The sequence below is a fragment of the Homo sapiens genome, chromosome 3 (assembly GCF_000001405.40).
Source record: "Homo sapiens chromosome 3, GRCh38.p14 Primary Assembly".
NCBI lineage: Eukaryota > Metazoa > Chordata > Mammalia > Primates > Hominidae > Homo > Homo sapiens.
Window position 1 is genome coordinate 197,000,902 of NC_000003.12, and position 13,511 is coordinate 197,014,412.

At 57.4% G+C, this 13,511-nt stretch overlaps 1 protein-coding gene and 1 long non-coding RNA gene across 5 annotated transcripts in view, besides 3 other annotated features; one reads left to right on the forward strand and one right to left on the reverse strand.

Moving 5' to 3' along the window:
- Nucleotides 1-838: 838 nt before the first annotated feature.
- Nucleotides 839-13,511, reverse strand: part of MELTF (melanotransferrin) — a 28,078-nt gene continuing 15,405 nt past the window's right edge. The window contains exons 10-16 of one of the 4 annotated variants that reach the window (XM_047448150.1): nt 9,797-9,893; nt 8,717-8,911; nt 7,908-8,061; nt 7,756-7,823; nt 5,648-5,835; nt 3,000-3,198; nt 839-2,550 (exon numbers count right to left, since the gene is read on the reverse strand). In XM_047448150.1, the coding sequence (XP_047304106.1) occupies nt 2,471-2,550; nt 3,000-3,198; nt 5,648-5,835; nt 7,756-7,823; nt 7,908-8,061; nt 8,717-8,911; nt 9,797-9,893 (981 nt within the window). In that variant the 3' untranslated portion in view covers nt 839-2,470. Of the gene's footprint in view, nt 2,551-2,999; nt 3,280-5,647; nt 5,836-7,755; nt 7,824-7,907; nt 8,065-8,716; nt 8,912-9,796; nt 9,894-13,511 lie in introns of all 4 variants that reach the window. The other 3 variants (XM_006713643.4, NM_005929.6, XM_011512850.3) reach the window with 3 other exon arrangements.
- Nucleotides 1,504-1,583: a silencer, noted in NCBI's record as "silent region_15080". NCBI's record gives its function as "represses an Ori minimal core promoter by ATAC-STARR-seq in GM12878 lymphoblastoid cells {active_cell/tissue: GM12878}" and the evidence as "EXISTENCE:reporter gene assay evidence [ECO:0000049][PMID:35858748]".
- Nucleotides 1,734-2,523: a silencer, noted in NCBI's record as "silent region_15081". NCBI's record gives its function as "represses an Ori minimal core promoter by ATAC-STARR-seq in GM12878 lymphoblastoid cells {active_cell/tissue: GM12878}" and the evidence as "EXISTENCE:reporter gene assay evidence [ECO:0000049][PMID:35858748]".
- On the forward strand, nt 2,005-3,843 carry MELTF-AS1 (MELTF antisense RNA 1). The gene is made up of 4 exons (NR_038285.1): nt 2,005-2,072; nt 2,701-3,069; nt 3,196-3,458; nt 3,593-3,843. It is a non-coding gene; the product is annotated as an MELTF antisense RNA 1 (long non-coding RNA).
- Nucleotides 2,564-2,963: a silencer, noted in NCBI's record as "silent region_15082". NCBI's record gives its function as "represses an Ori minimal core promoter by ATAC-STARR-seq in GM12878 lymphoblastoid cells {active_cell/tissue: GM12878}" and the evidence as "EXISTENCE:reporter gene assay evidence [ECO:0000049][PMID:35858748]".

The window sequence follows — 13,511 nt, forward strand, 5'->3', positions numbered from 1 at the left end:
GCATCTTAGACTGGATCTTCACAACCACCTCACCAAGCTGGTGATCGTACTGTGTGTTTTTCAGATGAGGGGCTAGGGTGCCCAAAGGTTAACTTTCCTTTCCAGAAGTTCAGGGTAGGGAAGTGGTAGCATGAGGCGAGCTGGAGTGACTGTGCAGCTGAGACTCGTCCATGTGATGCAGAGACAAAGTCGGTCAACTCTGGCCATCCAGGTCCCCAGGAATTGACTGGCTTTGTGATAACTGAGCCGACTTCATGGAAAATGGCCTGTGTGCAGTGGTGGGCAAGACCTGGCTCTGGGAGATGGCCACAGCGGCGAGGGGTGGTGGTGTGGGGGCCAAGTGAAGCCATGAGAGAGGGAAGCAGAGAAAACCTCCCCTTCCAGAGGGAGAGCAGAGCACTGATGAAGACCAGCCGGGCCCACCCCCACCTCAGTAGATACCACAGAGCACCCACTGTAGGGTCTCTGGGAGATCCGCTCCCCACGCCCCCCTCCAGTGAGTTAGCAGCGAGCTTGCCAGAGAAAAGATGTGGGCCGCTTATTTTGGAGGTGTGGGGCAGGGGGCAGCAGAGAAGTTTGCACCCTTCTCTGCACCCATCCACAGAAGGGCAGACACCCCAGAGCCTGATGGGGTGGAGGCAGCTGGAATGTGCCAGGGCAGCGGAGGCCCTGCAAGAGCCAGAGAACCAGTCCAGGTCGAAGAAGGGCGCGGGGGGCCTCACTGACTAGAGGATGAGAGTGGTCCCTGACTGGCTCTTGGAGAATGGAATCTGCCCTTCTCGGTGGAGCAGGTAGGCCTTTGAGTGCCTAACAAAACGAAAGAAATCGGCAGCAGAAGTTTCTATCAGGGTCCAAGCCTCTGCATGTGCTGGCTTGTTTGGCTTTATTTTAGAAACCAACCAACATGTTTCATTAGCACTGACACAGCAGGGGTCCCCTGCTGCCACCTGACAATCCAGCGTCACTTACACTGCACCCACGCAGGCCACACCTTCAATGGCCACGGCACGCTAGCCCAGAGTTAGCCACACAGAAACACACTTCTCACCGCACAAAACTCCCTTTTGAAAAAACCAAGCAATCGTCAGGTCGGAGGAGAATCACTAGCCCCCCACAGCGAGAGGGGACAAAGCTTGGTGGCCGAGGCCCAGGTCCTTGTGGCCCCTCCCGGTGGGGTGAAGGTGCCCGGGACTCCTCGGGGTTGCATGGCTACAGCCGGGGCGCTGCCAGGGCCTCCTCTGCGGCTGAGAGATGGAAGGGATCCTTCCCGACGCCCGCAGGTGGGGGCGAGCCACCGGGAACCGGGCCTGTCACCAGCATCCCCGAGCCCCCGCAGACCGGAATGCAAATGGCTCCGCGCCCACGCGGCTCCCGGTCTGCTGACGAGGGCTGCCTGCTCCCATTTCTTCTCTTCCTCTTCATTTTTTTTAAGGGCTGCCAGTTCTGGAAACTTTTTCTGGCTTCTCAGACAACTGTGGCAAGATGGAGTAGAGAGAGGCCCCGGCCGGGCGCTTTCTGCTGCCTCGCGGAGGGGCGGGCACGGGGAGTGAGGGGTCCCCAGGCCCAGCGGGTGCGGGGCCGGGTGAGGAGACGGAGCTCACCCCCGTTCGGAACCCAGAAGCATGGCGGGTCCCCACGCGCAGCCCTTCAGGGGCCTCGGGAGCCCGCGGCCTGGGTCACCTCCGGCTCCCTTCAGGCGGGGGGCGGCTGCTGCCGCCAGGCTCGGGCGTGGGTGCGGGCGGTGGGCATCCCACGGGGGTAGGGGAGGCGAGAGCCTGAGGAGACTCGGGAGGGGGCCCGTGGACGCGGCTGGCCCGGGATGGAGCTGGCGCGGCCACAGTGGGGGACGAGGCAGGGCACGCGGCGTTCCCCGGGCTCGGCCTCCCTCCCAGCGCACGGGCGGTCGGAGGAACTGGAGCCCCCACCCCGGACACGGTCCCGCGGGCGAAGGCTTCTCCCCGTCGCCCCGGTCCGGCCTCCCTCCCGCCGCCGCCAGCAGAGGCCGCTGTCCCACGCGCCGGGTCCCGTTGGCGCCGGGGCCTCCTGGGACGGCCTGGCCGCGGCCTGCGGGTGTAGGCGCCTCGGCGGCCACCGCGTCCCCAGGGGGCCTCGCGGACGGGGGCGCGGGGCTGCGGGGAGGAGGCGGGCGGGCCCCTCGGGCGACACCGCGGGGCGGGCGGCGGGAAGCCCGGACTCAGCGGTTTCCTGGGCAACCGGCCTCCTCCGGCGCGGCCCGCGCGGCTCCAGGTGGCGGGAGGCGGCGGTTGGCGGGAAGGGCCGCGCGGGCCCGGGGGCGGCGCCTCAGGTAGCAGCGCCAGGTGGCGCCCGTGGGCGGCGGGGCTCCCGGGGAGGCGCCTGCTCCCGCCCACGCCGGGCCCGGCCTTCGCGAGCTTCCTTCTGGATTCCAGCGCGAAGCCGCCGCGGAAACTCCCCGGGCGGGCATCGGAGCTCTGGGGCGGGGCGGCCGGGCTCAGAGGGCGGGCGGGAGCAGGCGGGCGGCGAGGGCGGGCAGCAGCAGCGGGAGCAGGGGCGCCCCGGGCGCCGGGGCCGCTGGGGACGAACGCGGCGGGTCAGGCCCCGAAGCCCGGGCCGCGGTGGCCGCCTCAGGCGCCCGCTCTGGGGTGGGGGTGGGGGCATCTTTCGGGACCGAACTCGCCGCAGCCTCCCTCTTTGTGCTCCTTTCCCCTGCTGCCCTTCCAGATGCGCTCTTTCCAGAAAGGCAGCACACGCATGTCTCTGCCGTGGCCCCAGATCCTCCCCGCGCCGCCGTTTTGAGCGTTCACACTCATTACCCAGGTCCGTCTGGGAGACCCGCCGGGCTCCCGCCCTCCCGGCCCGCAGCCTCCTGGCCAAAATCCTCCCGGGACACCCCACCTGGACTGCTGCGAACGGGCCTCCACCCGCCTCCCCGGACCCGCAGCGCCCCCCGCTCCCTCAGGGTTCTGGGGTGAAGGGGTCTGAATAGCACCAGGGGAGGCGGCAGGGCGGGCCTGTCCTACCTGCGCCCGAGCACTGCTGAGACGACATCCCTTCCAGCGCCGCCACGTAGTCCAGCCCCAGCCAGCCGCGGTAGGTGGTTTTCTCTCCGACAGGCACCGCCCGGACGGTGGCATCCTTGAAAAGCAGGTCTTGGCCATGATAGTTGGAGGAGTCGAACATTTTGAACCCGTTCTTATTGTGGTCGTCTCCAAACAGGTCCTGGAAGCACCGCAGGCAGACGACCTGCTCCTCACTGGGCTCAGGCAGGGTCACCCGCCCAGTGCCGCTAGCTGCAAATTGCTTTACATACAGTGACCCAAAGAGCAAGTCATTTCAGGGCCCCACCACTCTGATTGGAAGTCATAAGCTTGACAACTGATTGGCCTCTGTCACCCAAGCGGGTGTGGGGACACTAGGCCCGCAGGTGCCACTGGAAGAGGCGTTCAGAAGCACTGCGGTGCTCCAGCTCCTGGATGCAGGTCTGAGGCCTGAGATGTCCAGGAAGAAAGACCCAGAAATGAGGGATGGTGTGGGTGGGATTCCTGAGCGTTCTGCTAGGCCTGCTGAGCACTTCTTGGCCTTTTCCATAAGGCTTTCTCACTCTGTCTTACAGATATCTCCCCACAAACCTAAACAATTTCGAGAGGGACTTGTGTTCTGCAACCAGTCACAGAATATCAGGTGAGCTGGGCGTGTCTTCACTGACCCACCCGCCCAGGGATGCTGCACTCCTCTCCACCCTGCTCAGAATCACTAGAATGACCGTTCTGTGGCTACAGCCCTAAAAGAGCTACTAAAAAGACCAGAAGTAGTATGAGAACTTATGAATACGAATATAAATAAAGGACATCTGGAGAACATGCATGAATGTCTATGTAAAGTGTTAAGTACTGATCAAGGAGGAACGAAGGAGTCAGGTGGCTCTCAGTCTTTTTGGAGGGACTCGCAGATCCTCCTGAAGATCTGATGAAAGCTGTCAGCCTTCTCCCCAGAAAAATGCACATCCACCCAGGATTCTTCTCCCACATTACTTCAGAGGACTTAGCAACCCCCTAGGGAAGCCCAGGGACCCAGAGTAAAGCACTCCTGGGATAGAGGGGTTCTGTGGGGAAGATGACAGGAAGGAACATGCGTCAGTTCACAATGTCAAAGTTTAGGAACAGGCCTGGCGAGCCAGCCAGCTCTGCAGTTCTGTGGTGCTGGTGGGTGTGGAGAAGGCAATTTCAGCATAAGTCGGGGGAGGGGGAGTGGTTAGAAACCAGTGGCTCCATTGTGAGACAACCTGGGTTTAAATTCTAGGTATATTTTGAAAGCACAACCAATGGGATCTGCTGATAGATTGGCTGTAGAGCACGAGAGGAAGACCGGAGTCAAAAATGACTCCCGAGGAAATGGAAAAGCTAAAGTTGCTCTTAATTGAAGTGGGGAAGACTGAAGGAGGGACGGGGGTCCAACTTTGGACTTGATCCATTTGAGATGACTGTTAGAAACACAAGTCAAAATGTCAAGTATGTAGTTAAATATGCAAGTTTGGGACTGATGTCTGAAGATGTAAATTTAGAAGCCATCTGTATATAGATGGTATTTGATGACATGGGATTGGATGAGATCAAGGGTAAGCTGTAGACAGGGAAGAGGGCTGAGAACTGAATCCTAGGGCTAACAGGTCAGGGAGATGGGGAGGAAATCAGCAGAGAAGACTGAGGAGTGGCCAGAGAGTGAGAGGACAGCCAGGCAGGGCTGAGGACCTGGGCATCTGCAGGGGAAGGTGTTTCCAGGAGGAGGGAGAGCTGTGGCCAGTGCCACTGAGAGGTCAAGTAAAATGAAGACTGAGAAATGGCCACTGGGTTTAGCAACATGGGTCACTGTGACCTTGACAAGAACAGCTTCAGGGCCCTGGTGGGAGCCTGTCTGGGGTAGTCTCCATCCTTAAGAGGGGCCAGAGGAGAGGACTTGCTAACTCAGTCTCCATCCTTAAGAGAGGCCAGAGGAGAGGACTTGTTAACTCCAGAGCAGACCACTCTTTGGAGGAGTTTTGCTTCGAAAGGGAGCAGGATTGGCCGGGCACAGTGGCTCATGCCTGTAATCCCAGCACTTTGGGAGGCCGAGGTGGGCGGATCACGAGGTCAGGAGATCGAGACCATCCTGGCTAACACGGTGAAACCCCTTCTCTACTAAAAAATAGAAAAAATTAGCCAGGCATGGTGGCGGGTGCCTGTAGTCCCAGCTACTCAGGAGGCTGAGGTGGGAGAATGGCGTGAACCCGGGAGGCGGAGCTTGCAGTGAGCCGAGATAGTGCCACTGCACTCCAGCCTGGGGCGACAGAGTAAGACTCCGTCTCAAAAAAAAAAGAAAAAAAGGGAGCAGGATTACAGCTGCAAGAGGATGGATGTGAGACCAAGAGGTTAGTTTGTTCTTTAAGGATGGCAGAAGTCACAGCATGTTTCATGTTGGTGAAAATGGTCCGACTGAGAAGGGAAAATCAACGATGCAGGAGGCAGAGGGGACAGTTTCTGGAGGGATGTCCTTGCGTAAGTGAAAATCACAGAATTTCCCCCGGGCTTCCTCAATTTCTCTAGAGGTCTGCTCCAGGTAGACTGAGGCCTCCCAGGGGCTCAGCTTACCTCTGCTGCACACCCCTCAATGAGGTAGCCCCACCCTGGCTCACCTGGGCCTTGTCCAGCAGTCCATACACGGTGAAGATGTTGGTGTCGGGCCGGACCATCACGGCGTGGGGTGGTATCTGTGCCAGGTTGCAGGCTGCAAACTGGGACACCTCGGCTCGGGCCCCGTTGGGGCACAGCAGTTCATAGTCCTCTGACCTGAGCTCAGCAGCCCAGGGCTCGGAATTGTGGCCTGAGGGGGGTAAAGCAGTGTGTGTGGGGACGTTCCGGGAGTGGAGAGAAGTGTAAAGAGAAGCTGCTATCCTGGGACCCCAAGGCCTTCACCACAGGGAGGTGGCAACATCTGGCCAGCTCCCCAACCCTCTCCATTCTCCACGTGCTCTGCTGTGTTACCGGGGTGAAAGAACCCAGCTGTGTTCATGCCATTAGCAGGAGCTGCCATTAATTAGCAGGGAGTAGGGAGTACCTACTATGTGACAAGTACTTTACACGCGTTGCTTGATCCCCACAACAGTAACGCAGGGTAGGTGTTTTTGTCCCCATTTTACAGGTGAGGAAACTGAGGCTGTTAATCACTCCCAGGCAGAGAACCCCATCTATGTGTTACATCCTCAAGCCTGAGTGTGGGGTGGCTCCCTGAAGGTGGTGGGTGATTGTCCCTAAGGGCTGAAGTTCTCAAATGGAACAGGGTATAGCATCACTTGTGGATGCAGAAGGCAGCTTCAAGGGCCCTTGCTTGCAAAGAATCTTATTCAGGAGGTCTCAGATCAGGCTCAAGAATCTGCATGTTAAACCAGCATCCCACTGATTCTAAAGCAGGCGGTCTCGGGCTGCCTGAGAAAATGCTGCCCTCAGGAATCACATTTTCATGTCTCTGTGCATTCACTTAGTATCCATCCTCCTCCCATTTCCAGGAAATCCAGGTGGGCCTTGAGGAGAGCTAAAGATAAAAGGGAAAGGAGTGGCCCTGGGAGGCGGGTGACTCACTGCAAGTGAACCTCCCAAGGCCTCTCCAGCACCTGCCCGCCTCCCCTGACCCCATCCCAGACGACACCATGCACAGATCTGGGACCAGGCAGGCCCGCTGGGCTCGTGCAGGAGCACACAGCCCCTCCCTGGGGGAGGGTTTCAGGTGTTCTTGGTAGGAGGCTGGGTGGGGGAGCTGGGCTGTGGCAACAGGAAGGGTTCAGGGCCTGGAGCCCTCCCTAGCTCTGCTGGGGCAAATGGTCCTACCGCCTTGGTGACCCCCATAGGAGGCAAGATCCAAGTTTTGAAACACTAACTGAGGTTTTCGTTTTTTTCCCTGCACGTCTTGCTTCCCATTGTCCAGTCCCCTCCCCACCGGGCCACAGTTGTGCCTTTCTGGGCTAAGTCTATAGGAGGAGACATGTTGGGAGCGAGTGGAGAAGACTGGGCCTCCAGCATTTGGGGTTTCAAAGCCTGGGGTGTAGGCAGGGTATGCAGACAGTACAAGCCTTTGGTGTTGGAGGAAAACAGCCTCTAGTCTTCAAAACGGACACAGATTCCTTCACGGAGAACAAGAAGAAGGGGAAGTGATATAAGTCAGGGGAGCGTGTGCTCTGATAGGACCATGTATGTACTGGGGTCCCGGAGCAGAGCGTTCCTGAGCTCTTTGTCCCAGGCGGAGCCCAGGAAGGTGACTCCAGGAAGAAAACCCCCTGTGTGGTATGTTGGGCGTGCCCTGCCTCGGTGTGGCTTGGGGGCTGCAGAGAGATTTCCTTGCATGAGGCAGTGACCTGCTCAGGAACACAGACCAGATACTGATTGAACTCATGACCCTGTGGAGAGGCTCATGCCACTCCCACCTCACACCTTGGCACTACATCAATACTCCCAGAAGGGGGTCTTTCCAGATTGACTGGGATTGAGTTTCTACCGTTTCGGTGGATTAGGGACTTGAATTCCAGGCCAGTAAAAACCGTCATGTATCCAGCACCCCTGGATGTGTGGTCTGAGGTCTGTTCTTACCCTGTGACCCTTGGGGCTCCCAGCTTCCCAGGGGGCACAGCCTTCTAGACTCAGCCTCTCTGAGCTGCTGCTTGGCCCCAGCCCAGCATGGTGTCTGGATGGTGCTGAAGATGGGGAACAGTCCCCCCGACCTACCTTTGGCCCTGCTCTTGCCCCCACCTACCGTTTGTGTTGTCAAAGACGGTTGTGTGCCTGACGAAGGCAACGTCACCCGCATTCTCCACCAGGCACCTGCCACACAGAGGGCAGGGCAGGCGTCGGCAGGAGGGTCCCAGCCTCTGCACACAGCCCCAGACTGCCAGGCCACCCGGGTACCTGAAGGCGCCGCGGTAGCCGTAATACCGCTCCTGGCTGTTGCCCACACACTTGTTGCGGCCCTGCTCGTCCCCCACGCACAGTGCACACAGCGAGGAGGGGTAGTTCTTGGGGTTGTTCACGGGCACGCAGCTGGCATTGAAGAACTCGCTCACTGCTGGGGTGGAGGGAAGGGCAATGATGAGGGGCCAGCAGTGGAAAGTGTGGGAGGGAGCTGGGCGGGCCGCTCCCCCACAGGTCTGCCCACCCCCCGGATCCTACACTGCAAGGCCACCTGTCTGCTCCGCTCCCCTCAGCTCTGAGTGGAGTGTCTCCTGGAGGATCTCAGTGCGGGGAATGCAGAGGTTGTCTAGATACAGCATCTCCATCACCAAACATCACCCAGCCTTCACTTGAACTCCCTCAGGGACAGGGATCTCACTACCTCACTATTTTGTTCCAATCAGAGCAGGTGTCCAGCTGTCTGGGAGTGGGAGCTGCCAACCCTAGTGCCCTCTGTGTGCTTGTGTCAGTGGTTAGAAAAAAAAGTGCTTGTATGTTTTCTGAGTTAACAGCCAGGACAGAGGTGTGTGGCCTGTCAGCCCAAGGGTCTTGCCAGTTTCCATGAATATTGTGTGATCTAACACACTGGAGGGGCTTCATGTATAGCATATGGTGGGTCCTTCTGTCCCCAGCTTATGGAGATACCTGGGCACATATGCAGAAGCCTGGCCACCTTCCAACAAGGTCCTCTCCCCAACAGGCTGCGGGTCCCTAGCTAACCCCAGAGAAGGCTTCCCCAGTCTGCGTTCCTAAAAAGGGGGGGGTACCTGTGAGGACGTCACAGTCCTTGGGCCGGATGAAGCCTCTCTGAATAAGGGCACCCACGGGGACATCCCAGCCTGCAGGGCTGCCGAAACCGGCGTGGCAGGAGCGCTTGCCCCGAAGCTCATCCAAGGTGAAGGCGTGGGAGCTGTCCCGTCTCACCACGGCCACCACGTAGTACGAGTTGCTGCTGTCTTCCGCTGGGGAGAGAGGGACTCACGTGAGGGGCCCCTCATCTGAGAGCCCGGGCAAGTGCCTGGGGGGGTCCTTCCTTCAAACCCACTCCTTCCTGTCTCTTTGCCTGAGCTATGCAGGCCAAAGAGTACCCAGGCCTGAGGCCAGGGTGTTCTGGGAGCAGGCCCAGCGGGGGCCCCTGCCTGCGTCCCCTGTGAGAAGCAGCCTCTTGCCTCCACTTTCCAGCCTTGTCTTCCTCTGGCCCCAGCAGTCCTTCCCCACAGGGGCTTCTTTCTTTCCTTAAACCCAGGTGGTATTTTTCTCACTACCCAGGAGGAAAGTGGAGGCGCAGCTGAGGCTGCAGAAGCATTTTCCTACAGCCCAGAGATTGCTCACACCCAGGTGGAAGGGACCCAGGCCTCTGAGGTCACCAGTAAGAGGACAGAGGCCAAAGCCCCAGCCCAGGCCCCTGAGAAGGTGCAAATGAGCTGCCAGGGGGACTCTGAAGGGCCACTTTCCATGGCTGCTTAGGGCCAGAAGAGGCTGAGGAGGCCCCAGTAGTCCAAGATGGCAAACTACGAGGCCTGCTCTTGTATGGCCTGGGTTGTAAGCTAAGAATGGTTTTTATATTTTGAAAAGGTTATTGAAAGAGAGACTGTCTGTCGTCTGCAAAGCCTCATGTATTTATCCTCTAGTCCTTCACAGAAAGTTTGCCAGCCCCTTAGAGACGTTTGTTGAATAGTTGGGGAAACTGAGGCCTGGGGCAGGAGGGGCAGGCCTGGTGACAGGCAGCCACTATCCCCAGGAGAGAGGCATGGAGCTTTTGAAAATGGCTGAGGGGGGCACTCTTTTATATTTATAAAAATATCCCCACCTCCCGGCTGAGGCCAGGCGGCAGGCCCTGCACTCACGGGCATAGTGCTCCCCGGCTGCGGGAACCAGGCCGTACGTCTTCCCCGCCGTGTAAATGTCCTCGCCACTCAGGGTCACAGCGTCGACCTGCTCAGCCTGAAGGGAATAGAAGAAGCCACTGGGCCGGGGTGGGCCCAGGATGGCTCTGGATGTCGGGGTCCTGTGGAGGTGGCAGGGCCTGGTCTCTTGGGGTTTGTGGCCTCAGGCTTCCTTCCCCTGGGGAATGTGGGTGGGGAGTACCCCATCCTGGCAGTCTGTCCCTTCCTCTCCTTGTGAAGACGCCTGGCCAGGAGTGGTGCCTGGAGGACCAAGGGGCAGAAACACCCACGCAGCACTCCTGCGCGTGGCCACCCAGGGTCCCCTGTGTCCCTGCTCTGAGCAAAGCAAGCGCGATCCCTACCCTCATGCTTGGCGTGGGCCTCCCTGTGCCCTGCCAGCCCCCAGACAGCCGGGCACCGCCTCTCCAGCACCTGGCCAAGGGCCAGCACAGCGTGTGCTGCAATGCCTGTCTGTTAAATGCGTGTACAGATGGAAGAATGACCGGATCTGAAACGATGGCAGTCTCAGGGCCTGGGGAGGAGGCTTCAGGGCTGAGGGATGGAGCTCTGCCTGCGGAGGCGCGGGAGGGTCCAGTGCCTTCTTCCCAGGACCCTCCTGGGGCCTCCAGGTCACCTGCACCCACCCCGCTTGTCCATTCGGAAGCCTATTGACAGGTGGTCCCAGGACCCCGCCAAGGGGCTAACTGGTAACAGAGCCATAGTAGTGTGATTAACCTCAAGGGAAGGGGATGACAGTGTGACAGTGGGGGAGAGTGCGGACACCTGTGCCCCAGGAAGGTGTCCCACGCCATTCCTGAAGAGGCATGAAGTGATGGCGGTTAATAACAGGCAGCGGCGTTGATATTTGGGGCCAGGAGGGTGCACAGCTCGGGGCCCTTTTTCCACCACTCAGACCTCCCCCTTCCTATTGTGCTGTCGGGCAGGACACAGACCCTGCACCACAGCCCAGGGCGCTTCTGGCTGATGGTCCCTTCCCTGGGTAACTGGCAGGGCAGGAATGGGTGTTACAGCCACACTGGACTCCTCTCTGAGAACCTCAGAAGCTAGAACTGAGGGTCTTTGAGCCCTTTGCTGGGGTTCTGAGGAGCCCCTGAAGTCTCTCCTCTTCCTGCAGGCCCCAGGGCAGCCCCGTGGCCCTCTGTGAGCCCAGATTGAGAGGAGGCTGTCACTCAGAGGGAGCTGAAACCTCCCTCCCTGCACCTCTCCCTGCTCTGGGGCTCTTGGAACAATAGGGCAGCCTGCCAGGCATTAGGAAATAAAGACCCTCCCAACGAGCCCTTTCCGCAGTTCCGGTGGAGGTTCCTCTGTCACCGTCACACACAGTCGCGCTCAGCTCTGCACAAGGACAGGCTTCTATCGGGCCTGCGGAAGCTCCCGGAACACCCCCGCCTCGGGCCTGGGCACTCCTTGGCCTGAGGCTGGGGTGGTCTCCACTCCTGAGATCCAGAAGTGTGAAGACAGGGCTGTGGCCTGGCTCAGGCAACGCGGTGTGGGGAGGCTCATACAGCACATCCCGGCTGGTGACTTTGGGCAAGTTACTTCCCCAGCCTCTCTCTCCCCGGTTCCAGACCCAGAAGTGGGGCTGATGGTCACAGCCACCGCCAGGGCTGTTGTGAGGGTTACACGAGATGATCCACACAATGGCCCTCACTGTGTGGGGCATACGGGGAGTGTCAGCTTGCGCGATGGTCATCGTCGTAAGCCTGGTCACCCTGTATTCTTGCCCGGTCTCCTCTTTGTGGCCTTCCAGTCGATGTGGTTCCCTGGCCTGGGCAGAGTTGGCACTGCTGAGGGGCCTGTGCTTGGGGACCCCCTGAGCAGGCCCCACCTACTTGCTCTGAAAACAAAAACTGGGGAGTGTGAACACCCAAGGGCTGACAGCCGGGGCTCTGGGCCGAGGCTGGACACCCGTGACCACAGCAGTCCTCCCTGACTGCAGGGCCACGGGGGCCCCCTCTGCATCTGGCGTTAGTCTCCAGGCAGAGAAGAGAACCAGGAAAGAGCTGAACAGGCACTAGAGATCAGGCCAGTGTTTCTAGCTGCGGATGGTGAGCCTATTCATGGGGGCCAAATCGAGTGGGTCATGACAAGTGTCAGGAAAAAAAGGATTAGAATAGAATACATTAGAAAATAGTGGGTACCATTTGTGTCATATCTCTGTATATAAAGGACATACATTTTTAAATTTCTATCTGAAAGAAAAGTTTCCGTTCACTAGATTGTGATCAATGCAAAATGTATTCTGAGTGCTCGGTGCTGTCAGCAATGCTGAACTTCCCTATGAAAATTCCAATGACATTCTTTACAGAATTAGAAAGAACAATCCTAAACTTTGTATGGAACCACAAGGGACCCTGAATAGCCAAAGCAATCCTAAGCAAAAAGAACAAAGATAGAGGCATAGAAACGGACATATAGACCAATGATCCAGAATAGAGAACCCAGAAATTAACCCGCAGTTTTACAGCCAGCTGATTTTTGACAAAGGTTTCAAGAACCTCTTTGGGAAAAGAGTGATCTCTTCTTCAGTGGACGCTGCTGGGAAGAAGCTGAATGTCCAAGTGCAGAATGAACGGGGCCCTAAACTACCCCTCACCCAGCACAGGGACCAACTCAAAATGGATGAGAGGCCTAAATGCAGGGCCCAAGACAATAAAATTGCTGAAGAGAATATAGGCAAAACGCTTCAGGACATTGGTCTGAGAAAAGATTTTATGAAAAGACCTCGAAAGCATAGGCAACAAAAGCAATAATAAGCAAAGGGAATTGTATCAAACAAACAAGTTTCTGCACAGCAGAGAAAACAACGAACAGAGTGAAATGAAGACAGCCTATGGAATGAGAGAAAATATTTGCAAACTACTCATCCAACAGGGGATTAATATCCAGAATACACATGCAACGGAAACATCTCAACAGCAGAAAACCATCCAACTTAAAAACGGGCAAATGATCAGAACAGACGTTTCTCAAAAGAAGACATACAAAATGCCAGCAGCCATCACTGATCATCAGGGAAATGCAAATCAAAGCCACAGTGAGGTATCAGCTCACCCCAGTTAGGGTGGCTGTTATCAAAAAGATAAAAAATAACAAATGCTAGTGAGGATGCAGAATAAAGGAAACTCTTACACACCGTTGCTGGGGATGTAAACCCGGACAGCCGCTATGGAAAACAGTACGGAAGTCCCTCCACAAACTACAAATCGAACTATTGAATACCATATGGTCCAGTAATCCCACCACTGGGAATCTGTCCAAAGGAAAGGCAATCAGCCTGTGGAAGGGATGCCCGCACCCCATGTTTATCGCAGCACTGGCCACAATAGCCAGGATGTGGAATCAACCCAGGTGTCCAACAACAGAGGATGGATAGAGAAAATGTCATTGGCATGCACCGTGGAATACTATTTAGCCATAAAAAAGAATGAAATCCTGTCACTGGCAGCAACACGGACGGAACTGGGGGACACCGTGTTATGTGAAATAAGCCAGGCACAGCAAGTTAAACACCATATGTTCCACTCATATGTGGAAGCTAAAAAAAGTTGATCTCACAGAAGTAAAAAGTAGAACAGAGGATGCTGCAGACTGGGAAGGGTAGGGGAAGGGAGGAATAGGGAGAGTTTTTTTTTTTTTTTTTTTTTTTGAGACA